Source organism: Homo sapiens, chromosome 8, assembly GCF_000001405.40.
Source record: "Homo sapiens chromosome 8, GRCh38.p14 Primary Assembly".
NCBI classification, from domain to species: Eukaryota; Metazoa; Chordata; class Mammalia; order Primates; family Hominidae; genus Homo; species Homo sapiens.
Window position 1 is genome coordinate 27,629,295 of NC_000008.11, and position 13,701 is coordinate 27,642,995.

The following is a 13,701-nucleotide window of genomic DNA, read 5'->3' on the forward strand; positions in this document are numbered from 1 at the left end:
ACTAATGGTGTTAAATGCTACAAAATGGTTGAAGAATTTGCAGATTTTTGAGAAGGGTATTATATTTGGCAATTATGAGGAAGAGATCAATTTCCCTGAGCACTGAGGGCTGATACTATGTTCTCAGGAGAGTTAATTAGAGCAAGGAATGAGGTGGAAAGAAAAGTGGAAATCCTGCTTAACTTGTTTGCTGGAGAGGAGTCAAGGATCAGAGCTGCAGGCGGAGGAATTGACCTTTAGGAGAAAGAGGGGTGGCTTTTGCCTAAATTAGAAAAAAGAAAGGGAAACCCACTGCAGCTTTTGAGCAGGAGGCTGGGGTGAGCCAATTATTCTGAGCAAATGAGACACTGCTCAAGAACGCTGACGTGGACTTTCTACCTTCATTAACACAGGGAAAGTTGTGCCATCAGTCATTCCCTTCCTTCTTTTCTACATGGCCTCACCTCTTTAGGTATTTCCTTTGACTTTCAACGTCGATAGGGCTTCTGTGCAGCCATCAGCCACCCTAACTCAGCTCAAGTTAAAAACAAGATTAAGCAGGTCCCCCTTCCCCACCCCACCCCATCTGGTGCCACCTGTCCCAGTTTGCACCACATCCCAATGGCCCCATAATCCAGTCTCCCAGGGGAAGTCACTCCAGATGACTCCGGTTCAACCCTCTGGTTGTTGGTAGAAATTGCCTGAATTGCAGCTGAAATCTTCTCCCAAAGCCGGAGGTCACCTCTAGGAAATCCTATCTCCTCTTTTCTTATCTGAGACGGGGCTGACTCCTTCTTTACCCTTCTCTTTCCCCTTTCTTGGCTCTGAACTATGACCTCTGCTGTCCAACTCTTCTGCTCTTTTCCGCCACTCATAAGGTGGGGCTTCTCTCCCCAGAGTCATTTTGGAACTGGGATTCATCTTCAGTACCTCTCCAGGGCTGGGTACCACCTCTGCTCACCCCGGGCCCATCTGCAACCATCTCTTTGCTGATGCGTTGGAGTTATAATAGCAACAGCCCAGGATGCCCACACCCTTTATCACCACAGGGGCAGGGGTTAGGCCGTTTTCCCCACCAACTAAGAAAGCATGGGTAAAAACGAGGGTCATTTTTTGTTATTTCTTTTTTTTTTAATGATGTAAGCTCTAATTTTATTTCTTTTTTTCTTATTGATATGTCATGATTGTATATATTTTAGGGATACATGTGATATTTTGATGCATATATGCAATGTGTAATGGCCAAACCAGGGTAACTGGGACATCCATCGTCTTTTCTTTGTGTTGGGAACACTCCATTTTTTCTCTTTCAGCTATTTTTTAAATACACAATTAATTGTTATTAACTCTAATTTCCCTACTGTGGTATCGAATACTTGTTCCTTCTATTTAGCTGTATTTCTGCACCCATTAACCAAATTCTCTTCCTCTCCCCACCCACCTTCCTTCCCAGCCTCTGGTAACCACCATTTTATGCTCCACCTCCATGAGGTCCATTTTTGTAGCTCCCTTATGTGAGTGAAATCATGCAGTATTTGTCTTTCTATACCTGGCTAATTTCACTTAACATAATGACCTCCAGTTCCATCCATGTTGTTGCAAATGACGGGGTTACATTCTTCTTTATGGCCAAATAGTTTTCCATTGTGTATACACGCCACATTTTCTTTATCCATTCATCTGCTGATGGACACTTAGGTGGATTCCATATCTTTGCTATTCTGAATAGTGCTGCAATAAACATGGCAATGTGCAGACGTCTCTTGGATATGCTGATTTCCCTTCCTTTGGATATGTACCCAGCAGTGGTTGCTGGATCATTCTGTAGTCTATTTTTAGTTTTTTGAAGAACCTCCATACTGTTTTCCACAATGGCTATACTACTTTACATTCCCACATTTTTTGAACTTTCTGTCAACAAATATTTGAGCACCCTCTATGAGAGGCAGTGTGGCGGACCAGGTCTTAGCACACAGGCATTGGATTTAGCCTGCCTAGGTTCATATTCCAAGGTCTCCACTTACTAGCTCCGTGGTGCTAAGCACATTATTTACCCTCTCCATACCTCAGTTTCCTCATCTGAAAAATGAAGGCAATAATGCTGCTTACTTCATAGAGCGGACATGAAGATTAAATAAGTTAGCATACAGGTAACCTCCAAGGTAAATAAGTTAGCATACAGGTAACCTCCAAGGTAAATAAGTTAGCATACAGGTAACCTCCAAGGTGACTATCTCCCTGGGGTTTACAAAACAGCTCTCCTGATCCATGCCCTAGTTGTGGGAGACTCAGATCATGCGGCAAACTCGGAACCCAGATACAGGTGACAGGAGCACATGACTGTCACCAGGCAGGCAATGCCCCCTCTAAACCTCAGTCTCCTCATCTGTAAAATGGGCAGCACAGTCCCTGGGATCCCCCTCTCAAGGTGGTTGTGAGGTTCTGCTGAGATCATGGAGAGAAGGGACTTCGCAAACTGTAAATTTGCCATGGCAAAATGGAGATTAGAGAGAACACAGCATCACCCTTGCTGATCTGATGGGATCTACAGACAGGGGTGGCTGTCCTTGTCCTCTTCTCTACTCCAGGCTTAGGAGACACTTTCTCTTCCCCTCGGGTCTCACCTACTTTACTTCAGCATTAAATAGGGCTTGGGGATGGGGAGATGGTGCTGACTGTGGCATCAGAAGAGACCAGGCTGGCCTGTGCCACTTTGTGGTCCCGTTTCTCCCTGCACTTTTCTTCTCATAACATTCATCCCACTTCTGCACTGCTGCTTGTTTAATTACTGGCTTTCCTAACCAGACTGGCCATGTGACATGTTCCTCACACTTCTGGAGCTTGGGGCAGAGCCTGGTCCCTTGTAGCGAAACCATTTTGGTATAGTCTGGCTGCCCTGTTTGCTTTTGGTTGCTTGCTTGCTTTTTGTTTTTCTGGTGAGTTTTTTTTGTTTTTGTTTTTGTTTTTGTTTTCTTTTTTCCATGAAGCTGAAGGCTACACCACTGAACACTGAAACTTAACCTTCATTCACTACTTTATAGGTAACATTCATAGGCCACCATGGTAATGATCTCTTCAGTTGTTTTTTAGGAACTTGGGCTAGCTCCTGTCCATCTCAAACTGGTGAGACCATTGGCCCTTCAACTGGGCAAGTGCCCCAAGAGGTGGGCTTTCAATGTCGGAGAGCCAAAAAACTCCACCCTTGGATCATGCTAACCCTGCCATTTTCTGCATATATGTCCTATGAAATACCATTAGCTCAGACTACATTGGCATGGAATGAACCTGTTTCTTCATTTGTCCCCACTGCCAATTGCCTTTCCCCATGGCTTAGACCACTCTACTTCCCTAACCCATAAATATCCTTAAGCCTGATCTTCTGGGAGGTGGATTTGAGAGCTGTTCTCCCACCTCCTCTCTTGGTGCCCTTGCCAATAAGTCTTTTTTCTCTTTTCTAAAACCCGTGTCACCTGATTGATTACCTGCAGGGGCAGCTTGCAGGGTGGGCAGATTGGACAGCGGACCTAGACCTGGCCGGCAGCTGGGAGCTCGGTAAATGTTTGTTCAATCAATGAAAAATGACACGTGAGAATCCTGAGTGGCGCTTATGACCAGTCTCAACTCCCTGCCTGCATTCACTTTCCTTGGCTGTCACTGTTTACCCCAGAGACCCCTCCACCAACAAAATCACAGAATTTGATGGCCAGGTGCAGTGGCTCAGGCCTATAATCCCAGCACTTTGGGAGGCTGAGGTGGGTGGACCACCTGAGGTCGGGAGTTCCAGACCAGCCTCCCCAACATTTTTAGTCTCTACTAAAAATACAAAAAAAAATTACCGGACGGGATGGTGCATACCTGTAATCCCAGCTACTCGGGAGGCTGAGGCAGGAGAATCATTTGAACCCAGGAGGCGGAGGTTGCAGTGAGCGGAGATTGCACCACTGCACTCCAGCTTAGATGGCTAGAGCCTCAAAAAAATAAAAATGAAAAATAAATCACAGAATGTGGCGCACTCCAGGCCCAATTCTCTCATGTAGAAAGAAGAGGCTTGGAGATGAGAACTGGATGCCCAAAGTCACTCAGCTCGCCAGGGGCAGAGCCAGGGTGCTCACAGGGTGGCCAACCTTCCACGTCTGCCCTGGACACGGGACTTTCAGTACTAAAATGTGCGGACGTCCTTCTCCCGGACGTCCTTCTCCCAGGCCCTCGACATCATAAGATGGGCGAGAAAAACGTGCAGGGCTAAAATCTGGGGTCCCCACCCCTGCCCCAGCCACTTGGCGGTCCCGATAGTGAAATGGACTAAGATCAAGGAGCTCTCCCGGTGAGCCCCCCCATTGCGGCCGCAGCGCGGGCAGGGAGGACGCCGCGGGAGCCCGGGTTCGAGGCTGGGCTGTGGGGCTGCGGGGGCGCACGGGCGAGGTAGGCGGGGCGCGGGGCCCCCGCGGCGGCACAAAGAGGCCGGCCGCGGCAGTTTTGAAAATACCAAGGAAGTTGATCTGGGCCGGGGCCCAAGAAGTGACGAGGAGGGAGGGAGGCTTGCGAGCGAGGGAGGAAAGGAGGGAGAGGGAGAGGAGAAGGCGGGAAGGAGGGAGGGAGGAAGGGTGCGCGGGGCGAGGGGCGGCGGCAGACCTCGCGGGGCCCCAGCGGGAAGCGCGGGCGGCGGCGGGATGCGCGCTCTGGGCGGCGGGGCGCGGCGCTAGGCGCCCGGCGGGGCTTCCCCAGGCTGCGACCCCGCGGGACCCTCCACTCCTCCCGCCGCCTCCGCAGCCCGCGCGCCGGAGCATGAGTCCCGGCCGGAGCCCCACGGCCGCGGGCGGCGCCTAGGACGGCGATCCGCGCCCTGGAGGATCCGCCGGCCGCCCGGCTCCACTACAGCTCCAGCCGCCTGCAGCGGGGCCCTCCTGAGGCCCCAGAGGAAGAGACCATGAAAGGTAAGGGCGGCCTGTCGGGGGCAGCTCCGAGGGGGGCCGCCTGCACCCCCGCTCCACCCAGGGCCTGGGGGGCGCCTTTTCTGCAGGCGAGGCTGAGAGGAGGGCAGGGCGCCTCTGGCTTTTCCCCTGCCTTTTTGGGCATCCTGCGAGACAGGACGGATCCCTGAAGACCAGAGGAAGCAAAGAGGAGAGGGAGGATGGGGACACTCACACACCCCCCCTTGCAGTCCTGTTCTCATCGGCCGTTGCTCTAACCTCACAAATAATTTTAAAATCCAGAGAAGTTTCTGATCCCTTTAACCAGTAGACGCAGAAAGGCATCACCAGCCCAACTTTCCAGCAGTGTAAATTTCGACCCTGGGGACCCATCAGAGAGGCCCCTGCATCCCCCACCGAGCCTTTCAACCGGGGGCCAGGCCTAGGATTCTCCCCCAGGACCTCCAGCCCTTCCCCAAAAGAGACCTGCAGTGTCAGAGCCCCTCAGCCCAGGCCCTGCCCTTCCCAACCCCTGAACCCTGCCTGACCCACCCTCTGACCTCCTTGGGAGGAAGCCGCCGGGGAAGCCCCATGGGCCAGGACTGACCTCTCCCCAGGGTGGTGAGCCAGCAGCAGGGTGGCCCTTGCAGCCAGTTCTTGGGATGGAAATAAGAACCAGACATGATCCCAAGTGGCCATTTCCAGGGCCTGGGTGTCTTTAGGCCCCTACTTGGTCTTCAAGGTCATTTTGAGGCTACAGGAGAAGCAGGCTTTGGAGTTATCTCATGAGGCAGGGAACCTCCGAGGTTTTGAACGCCATTTCGGGTGTCTTTCAGTAATCCTCCTGTAACACCCCCAGCAGATGCTTGTGTTCCTAGCAGTGAGAACCTCACCACCTCATCTGCTTATGGAAAGTAGAAACTGAAAAGGGCCTTTGAGATCATCTACAGGGCTCTCAACCACACTCTCAGGTGCCACTGACAGGTATGGAGGTGGAAGAGGTGGGGCCAGAGCTCTCAGCCTACTTCAACCAGAGCAGCTCTGTTTGTCTCTCATACAAAGAATGGCCTGAGGGTTCATTGGAAGAAAGGGCTCCACCGACAAACTTCTGACTGGATGCAGCCTCCGCATTGCATAGTTAGGGAAACTGAGGCCCAAGCAGGTAGGGCTGGCTTCATGGCTTCTGCAACCAGTGCCATCCTACAAGGTCCCACACTTGGTTTAATGCTCTGCAGGTGCTATCTTGAACTTTTTAAAAATGTATTTTATTTTGTTTTATTTTAGAGATAGGGACTCAATCTGTTGCCCATGCTGGAGTGCAATGGCATGATCATAGCTCACTGCAGCCTCAAACTTCTGGGCTCAAGTGATCCTCCCACTTCAGCCTCTCATGTAGCTGGTACTACTAGGACTACAGGTGTGCACCACCATGCATGGATTTTTTTTTTTTTTGATAGATATGGGGCCTTATTATATTGCCCAGGTTGGTCTATAACTCCTGGCCTCAAACGATCCTCCCACCTCAGCCTCCTAAAGTGCTGGGATTACAGCCTTGATCCACCATGAGGCCTGAAATTCTTATAATTTTTTAACAAGTCATCCCCTCCCACCAACACACAAACACACACACTTTCCTTTTACACTGGGCCCCACAAATTATGTAGCTGGTCCTGTGGACAGAAGTGAGTTGTTACAAATCACAGTTAGTCAGGGTGACTAGACCCCAGGACTCCTGACTTCTAGTCTAGAATCCACCTTGCCTCTTTGTGGCTTCCTTCCCTCTGCCTCTGGCACCTTCTTTCTGTGCTTCCCGTTGGCCTCCCCAAGTCCTAGGCTCTGCGGGATGAGCCAAGCAAGTTATAATCAGCCCTAGGGAGCACCTGGCAGGCAGTGAGGGGAGCCTCGCCCCAAGTCCTGCTCCTCACTGAGACACCTTTGCAGCTGAACCCTCTGCAGTCAGCTGGCCCAGGGCAGACCATTACTGGAAGCCTCCAGAAAGGTCTTGGACCACATCTTACACGGGGCCACACTGCCCTGGACCTTGATGATGGTGGTGAGATGTTTCACATTCTCAGAGTGGCTCCACCCCAATTCCAGACAAGCACCAGCAGGGTGTGGTGGCAGATACCTGTAATTCTAGCTACTCCGGAGCCCGAGGAGGGAGGATCGCTTGAGCCTGGGAGTTTGAAGTGTAATGAGCCATGATTGCACCACTGCATTCCAGCCTGGGCAACAGAGTGAGACCCTGTCTCTAAAAAAATAGAATTTATTTAAAAAAAGAGGCAGGGCCAAAATCCTGTGAAATAGAGAAGAAAAGAGCTGGTGTGAATGAATATTTAAAAAGAGGTGCCTGAGGAGGACCCGCTGACACCACGTTGCAGGGTTCCAGGCTCTCCTTGTGCTGTGGGTTCCTATACAGGAAGCCAAGCCCTGCCTCTCTCCTCCTTTCCCTTGGATCCCACAGCCTCTTCATGTGCCGAGCGGGATTCCTGTCTACGGAGGCCCTGAGGGCGGCGCTGGTGTGTTTTTCCTCCAGCCTCCGGAAACCCCTCAGTGATCTCCCATAACATCACAGGGGCTGCATGGGCTGCGGGGCTGGGGGCTGACTTCCAGCACTTCCCTCCCTGGCAGCCGGGAAGAGCCGCCCCTCTACCAGAGATGGAAATGGCAGGGCAGACAGCAAATAATTGGCTTCCGGGATCTGTGGGGTGTAAAGAACCAGGATTTTTCTCACTCGAGTGGAAAAAGTAAAGTGCCCGGCAGAGTAGGGCAGGCAGCCCCTTCCAGAGAACCCTTCCCGTGCTCCTCCAGAGGCCACACCAAACTTCGAATTACATCTGTTGGCAAAGGATCATGCCCTGCTCAAAACAAACACGTGATGTGATGTGATGTTGTATGGAGAACCGGTGATGGTGGGGAAGGTGATCAAGAAAACACGCTAGTCGGGCTGCCCAGCCCACCGGTGGCCGAGTGCCAGGGCCCACTCTGCCAGCCAAGCCATTTCCACCCGAGGCCCCTCCTGCCCCACGGCCAGCTGACAGGGCCTCCCAGGCCGCTGCCTCTTTTGATCCAAGCTGGCACCTGGCCCCTCTCACACGCAGCCCTAAGGGGACACTCAGGTGCCACCAGCCCCTTGGTGATAGGCCCACCTTGGAGCTTCCCACTGGCTTGTCCAAGCCATTAGCAGCCACCTGTGGGGTTGTTTCCACACTTCCAGTAAGAGTGACCCACCCCCAAGATGCCCAAGACACAGGCTGGTGCACCGTGAAGACTGATTTGAGAGTCGAAGACATGGGCTTTAGTCCCGGCCCCATCATCTGCCCTCTTCGGCCCCGTTGTCCTCCTGGGTGGTCCCTGAGGCCCAAGAGCTCTGCGCCTGAGCACCACTTGGGGAGCGGAAGTGACTCAGTGGTGAGGTGGCTGGAAGCGGGCCCACCTTGTGGCCTCTTTGCCCCGAGAGACTTCTGCTTGACTGCGGTGGCCAGGGCAGGGGGCAGCCCTCTGTTCCTCAGGCGTGGGAGAAACAACCCCTCCTTCCAGAATCAGAGAGCAGTGCCCACTTCATTTAGGCAAAGGGTGGAAGTGGGGAGAGGAGGGGCTGTGAAAACACAGCGATGCAATCCCAGGAGGAATCCGCCCTGCACCGCTCCTCTGGCCGAGAGGAGAGGATCTCCACTCATGAGCGGCCAGGCTGGGGGCCCCAGAAAGCCTGACCTCATTCCCCAGGGGCACGGGAAGGAGCCAGGGCTAGAAGAAAAGGAGCTGATGTGGTGAAGGTGAAAAGAGCCACCAGACAGCCTAACTGAGGGGTCCAGGGAGCCCAGCGGCTCAGATGTTGGAGTTCGGCTCCAAATCCTCAAACATCGGCCCCACTCCCACCCCCAGCCAAAACAGTCACTTTGCCCTCTAGCTGGGGGTAAGCCTAATAACTGAAGACTCAGGTCCCAAGGCTCATCGAGAGCGAGGAAAAAGCCTTCTGTTTCTCAGTAGGCTAGGTTGATGGATAGCTTGGCAGTTTCCGTGAAGGACAGGCAGCTGTTCTGGGTGTTAGAATTGATGTACAGGGTGGCATAGCTGGGCATGGCTCTCATACATGCACTGCCCATGTTTGATCATGTATAATTTAGTGATTGTGTGTGTGTGTGTGTGTGTGTGTGTGTGTGTAGAGCACTGAGTCCCAAGGTCAGGCCCAGCCCTGTCATAGGCCAGCTTTATCACTGGGATGAAGTCCCTGGTACTCCCTGGGGTCAGTCCCCTCATCCAGGTGGACCAGATGATCCCATGGGATGGCATCAGAGTGTAAGTTTCATGACAGTGGGGTCTCTGTCTGTTTCTGGCACTTAGGGGGTGTCCACTAAGTCTGTTCAGTGTGCACATCTGTACTGTACCATGGTATCGTCAGAACCTCACGCAGGCATTCCGTAAACATGCAGAAAGATGCCTGTATTCAACAAACAGCGATGGGGCGACTGCCAGGTGCCCGGCTCTGTATGTCTATATATGTCTAAGGACTGAGGAAGCTACAAAGAGCTCAGATGCTGCCCTTTCTCTCAGGGAGCTTACTCTTTACTAGGACACATAGGATTTGTGCCCAAGTCACTCAAAAAAAGACTAACAGTGATAAGTGTCTTAAGGGAGTTCCCAGCGAGAGAGTTTGGGGGTGGGCTGGGCTCTTTTCCTGGCTTTCCTTCTTTGCTGCTGTTCTTCGAAATGCGTCCTCGGTTTCAGCCACAGACAGGCTCCTGGTTCTTGCTGGCACCCGTTCCCTGAACAATCTCTCCCAGCCTCGAAGATGTGACATGTGGGAGCTGGCAAATCTGACGGCACCAGATTTGCCTCTCTGGGCTTCACAGCTGTATTTCCATCGGTGTCCTCAGTGTCTCCAGGTGGAGACCTGCAGGCACCTTCTTCATGGTTCAGATGAGACACCTTCCCCTTCACCTGAACCCAAGCTAAAAAATGGGTTATTCTGAGTTGTTGCCCCAGCCCACACTTTTCAGTCAGCCAACATGTATGGAGTTCCTGTTTTTAGGGAGGAAGCACGCTAGTTGGAAGGCAAGCCTGGGTGCTTTCTGCCCTCCCAGCAGAAATAAGACGTGCACACCTGAGACGAGAACCGAATCATCCAGGCAGATGCCACAAAAGAACAAATGCACGGCATATACGGGAGATTGGATGGGAATCCCGGGAGAGAAAGGGAGCATTTCAAGTTGGGCAGTTCAGAAAGGCTTCAGGGAGGAGCTGAAGGGTGGGGAGGAGTTGGATGGGGTCAGTGAAGAGGGCAGGAAGGAGTGCTGGGAAAAGTTGGACAGCAGGTCCTGGGGGAAGAGTGTTTGGTGGTGGGGGAGAGAGATGGCCTGCAGTTGAGGGAGCCCTAAGCCAGAAAGGACCTGAGTGCTCCATAAAGGACACGCGGTTGTGTCTGGTTGACATTGGAGAGACCTGGGAGGGTTTGTCAGGAGAAGGCCTATTTGCCACTTGCCCCTGGAGATATTCTCTCGTGGCCTTAGCCCATGTTGAGAAACCTCTACTTTTAGAGAGTGGGAGGAAGAAAATGAGCTTGTAAAGGAGCCAAGAGGAGCAGTCCAGGACACAGGCAGAGAACCATGATGGTAATGTCATGGAAATTGAGAGGAGAAAGTTCCAAGGGGGAGGAAATGACCCACCGCGTTGACTGCTGATCAGCAGAGTTAGCTCAGGATTCATGGATCAGAGAAGGCCAGGTTGCAAGGGCCAGAGGGGCTGAGTGGATCAGAAGCAAAGGCGCAGGAGGAGCTGTGTCCTTAGAGTGGGAGGCAGGGCCCAGCTCAAAGGATTTCAAGGCAGGGATGGCCCGTGCTCATTGGGAGGGGGAGGGACAGAAGAGGCATGGGGGGACTTGGGGACAGAGCGGTGGAATTGAGGGAGACTTGCTTTGAGAAGAAAGAATCTCTTTATCGGGAGGCAAGGGAAGGAGAAAAGATGGTTACAGACATAGACTCTGCATTACGAGCAGCTGCATTTAACCTTTTTATAACACATTTATTATTTTTTTAAAAATCAAAAAATTCCAAAAAGGAAAAACATTCACTCACGTGAACTCCTGCCCTGTAGAGATAATAAATGACAAAATGTAGATGAACATTCTTCAGAAATCATTCTGTGTATGTTTGCACAGATTTTTTTCATGTAGATAAGATTACACTATCCATGTTATTTTTATTTTTATTTTATTTTACTTTGAGACATAGTCTCACTCTGTGCCCAGGCTGGAGTGCAGTGGTACCATTGTAGGTTACTGCAGCCTTGACCTCCTGGGCTCAAGGATCCTCCCAGCCTCCCAAGTAGCTGGGACTATAAGCAGGTGCCACCATGCCCAGCTAATTTTTGTATTATTTGTAGAGATGAAGTCTCGCTATGTTGCCCAGGCTGGTCTCAAGCTCCCGACCTCAAGCAATCCTCCCTCCTCAGCCTCCCGATTACTTAGCGTTTTTGTTCTTAGTGCTGGTTTTTAGTTGTTGCTTTTGTTTTTGTTTGTTTGTTTCTTTGCTTGAGACAGAGTCTTGCTCTGTTGCCCAAGCTGGAGGGTAGTGGCACTATCATGGCTCACTGCAGCCTCAACCTCTTAGGCTCAAGCAATTGTCCTACCTCAGCCTCCCAAGTAACTGGGACTACAGATGCATGCCACCATGCCCAGCTAATTTTTGTATTTTTTGTAGAGATGAGGTTTCACCCTGTTCCCCAGGCTGATCTCAAACTCTTGGGCTCAAGTGATCCTCCTGCCTTAGCCTCCCAAAATGCTGGGATTACAGGCGTGAGCCACTGCACCCAGCTTGCAGTATTTTTAAAAAATGGTTTCATAACATCCCATAGTAAGACTCTACGAGCATTTATGTAACCAATCCCCTGGAGATGGGCATTTTAGCTATTTGCATTTTCCCTCAGATTTATCATAGCATGCAGTGATCACCTTTACACATACACCTTGGCCTAATTGTGTAATTATTCTCTTAACATGAAGTTCCTAGAAGGAGGATTACTGAGTCAAAGGGCACTCGCCCTTGCAGTATTGACAGAGGGTGCCAGGCTACTCAGAATGCACGAGAAGGCCTCTTTCCCCATCCCTCCCCCAGACTGGGTTTGAAGTGTAGGCATCTGGACAGAGTTAGTGGATGATAAAGAAAGAAGTTGGAACCTCATGGTCTTGATCCTTTCAGAAAAGGAGGGGGTGAGCTCATCTTTGGGGAATGAGGTGGGCTGACCTGAGGAGGAACCCAGGAATGGGAAGTGAGGATCCAGATGGCAGGACTTGGCTGAAGCCAAATGCATGCCCCCCTCTGACACTCTCCTGCAGCTCCAGGCTTCTCTAGTGCAATTCGAAGAAAGCAGGCTGAGGATGGAAGGGACCATGGCCAGGAGAGAGAACTACAGGCTCCATGGGGCAGAACTCAACCCTTGGGGACTGGGCTGGGCTTGGAGGTCAGGGCGAATGAGAACTTGGAGGAAGGAGAGCGAGGAAAGGCTGAGTGCATTGGGGATGAAGAAGGCAAGGGGCTTGAGATCAAGCAGATGGAACAGCAATAAGCCTTAAGCTCCAGAGGGCAGGCAGGATGTGTAGAGATGAGACAGTAAATCCCATGTCCAGAGCCCTGAGTTTCAACAGAAAAGCTGCTTCCATTCAAGTTGATGGCAGGAGACAGAATGAAGAATTCATCCAATCCAGGTGATGTCATTGTCCAGAACAGTGTTCCCTAAAGTCAGAGTCCCTCTGCCTCTGAACATAGGTCCCAGAATTAAAAGATACATTTATTTTTCAAGATCTGCAGGAAGTTCCATGACCAAATAAGTCTGAGAAACGTGGAGTTAAACACAGATTTAAATGGGCTTATTATTTTTTTTGGCAGGACTTTTCAAAATGCTTACTATGTGAATGTGAATCTCTAAGATGGCGATAGAGTATGCCATGTTTTCCACACTTACTTGATCAAATAATCCTTTTTCACAAAGAATAATTTGGGACTAGTGTCCCATAGGATATGTTTTGAAACACTGATTTCTTGTAAGTTGGAAATTGGTCCTGGGAGTGATGGGGGTTGGGAGATGGCAATAAATGGCAGCATTAATTGGAATAGGATAGAAAAATAATCCTAATAAAAGTGGCTGCTACTACTATTTATTAAGCATTTACGATGTACCAGGTACTTTTCATATACGTCTCATTGGATTTTCACAGCAGCTCATTGAAGCGGACGATCTCCCCACCATTTACGCATAAGGAACATGAAACTCAGAGGAGGGAAGTGGGGTGCCCATGCGAGACAGGGTAGGATTTGCAGGATCAGGGGTGACAACGGGGATCAAGAGAACTGGTGATTCCTGGCCAGGCATGGTGGCTCATGCCAGTAATCCCAGCACTTTGGGAGACCCAGGGAGGAGGATCACTTCAGGCCAGGAATTTGAGACCAGCCTGGGCAACATAGTGAGATCTTGTCTCTACAAAAAATAAGCAAGATTAGCTGGGTGTGATGGCACACACCTGTAGCCTCAGCTACTTAGGAGGCTGAGGTGGGAGGATCGTTTGAACCCGGGAGGTCTAGGCGGCACTGAGCCATGATCGCACCACAGCACTCCAGCCTGGCCAATAGAGCAAGACCTTGTCTATAAAAAGAAACAAAAAAAGAAAAGAAAAGAAAGCCAGTGATTCCCACCCCTCCCATCCCTCTGAATTCATGGGGTTCAGGGGAGTCGGGGGGGTTGGTGCTGTGGACAGAGAGGAGATCAGTGTGTAAGTAATGGGGGGAGTCTGTTGCATTGAGTGAGTAGCCTAGGTTCT

At 51.1% G+C, this 13,701-nt stretch overlaps 1 protein-coding gene across 7 annotated transcripts in view, besides 2 other annotated features; it reads left to right on the top strand.

The window, feature by feature from the left end:
• SCARA3 (scavenger receptor class A member 3) overlaps positions 4,169-13,701 on the top strand; it is a 100,679-nt gene continuing 91,146 nt past the window's right edge. For 5 of the 7 annotated variants that reach the window (XR_949419.3, XM_017013536.3, XM_017013537.2 and 2 more), the window contains exon 1: positions 4,608-4,913. Coding sequence is in view for 6 of the 7 variants with exons in the window: in XM_017013536.3 (XP_016869025.1) it covers positions 4,907-4,913 (7 nt within the window). In the remaining variant the exon portion in view is untranslated. Of the gene's footprint in view, positions 4,402-4,607; positions 4,914-13,701 lie in introns of those variants that run through there. The other 2 variants (XM_047421850.1, XM_017013535.2) reach the window with 2 other exon arrangements.
• Positions 4,242-5,071: an enhancer, noted in NCBI's record as "H3K27ac-H3K4me1 hESC enhancer chr8:27491053-27491882 (GRCh37/hg19 assembly coordinates)". NCBI's record gives its function as "activates a minimal SCP1, AML or CMV promoter by ChIP-STARR-seq in primed H9 embryonic stem cells {active_cell/tissue: H9 hESC(primed)}" and the evidence as "EXISTENCE:reporter gene assay evidence [ECO:0000049][PMID:30033119]".
• Positions 5,072-5,900: an enhancer, noted in NCBI's record as "H3K27ac-H3K4me1 hESC enhancer chr8:27491883-27492711 (GRCh37/hg19 assembly coordinates)". NCBI's record gives its function as "activates a minimal SCP1, AML or CMV promoter by ChIP-STARR-seq in naive H9 embryonic stem cells {active_cell/tissue: H9 hESC(naive)}" and the evidence as "EXISTENCE:reporter gene assay evidence [ECO:0000049][PMID:30033119]".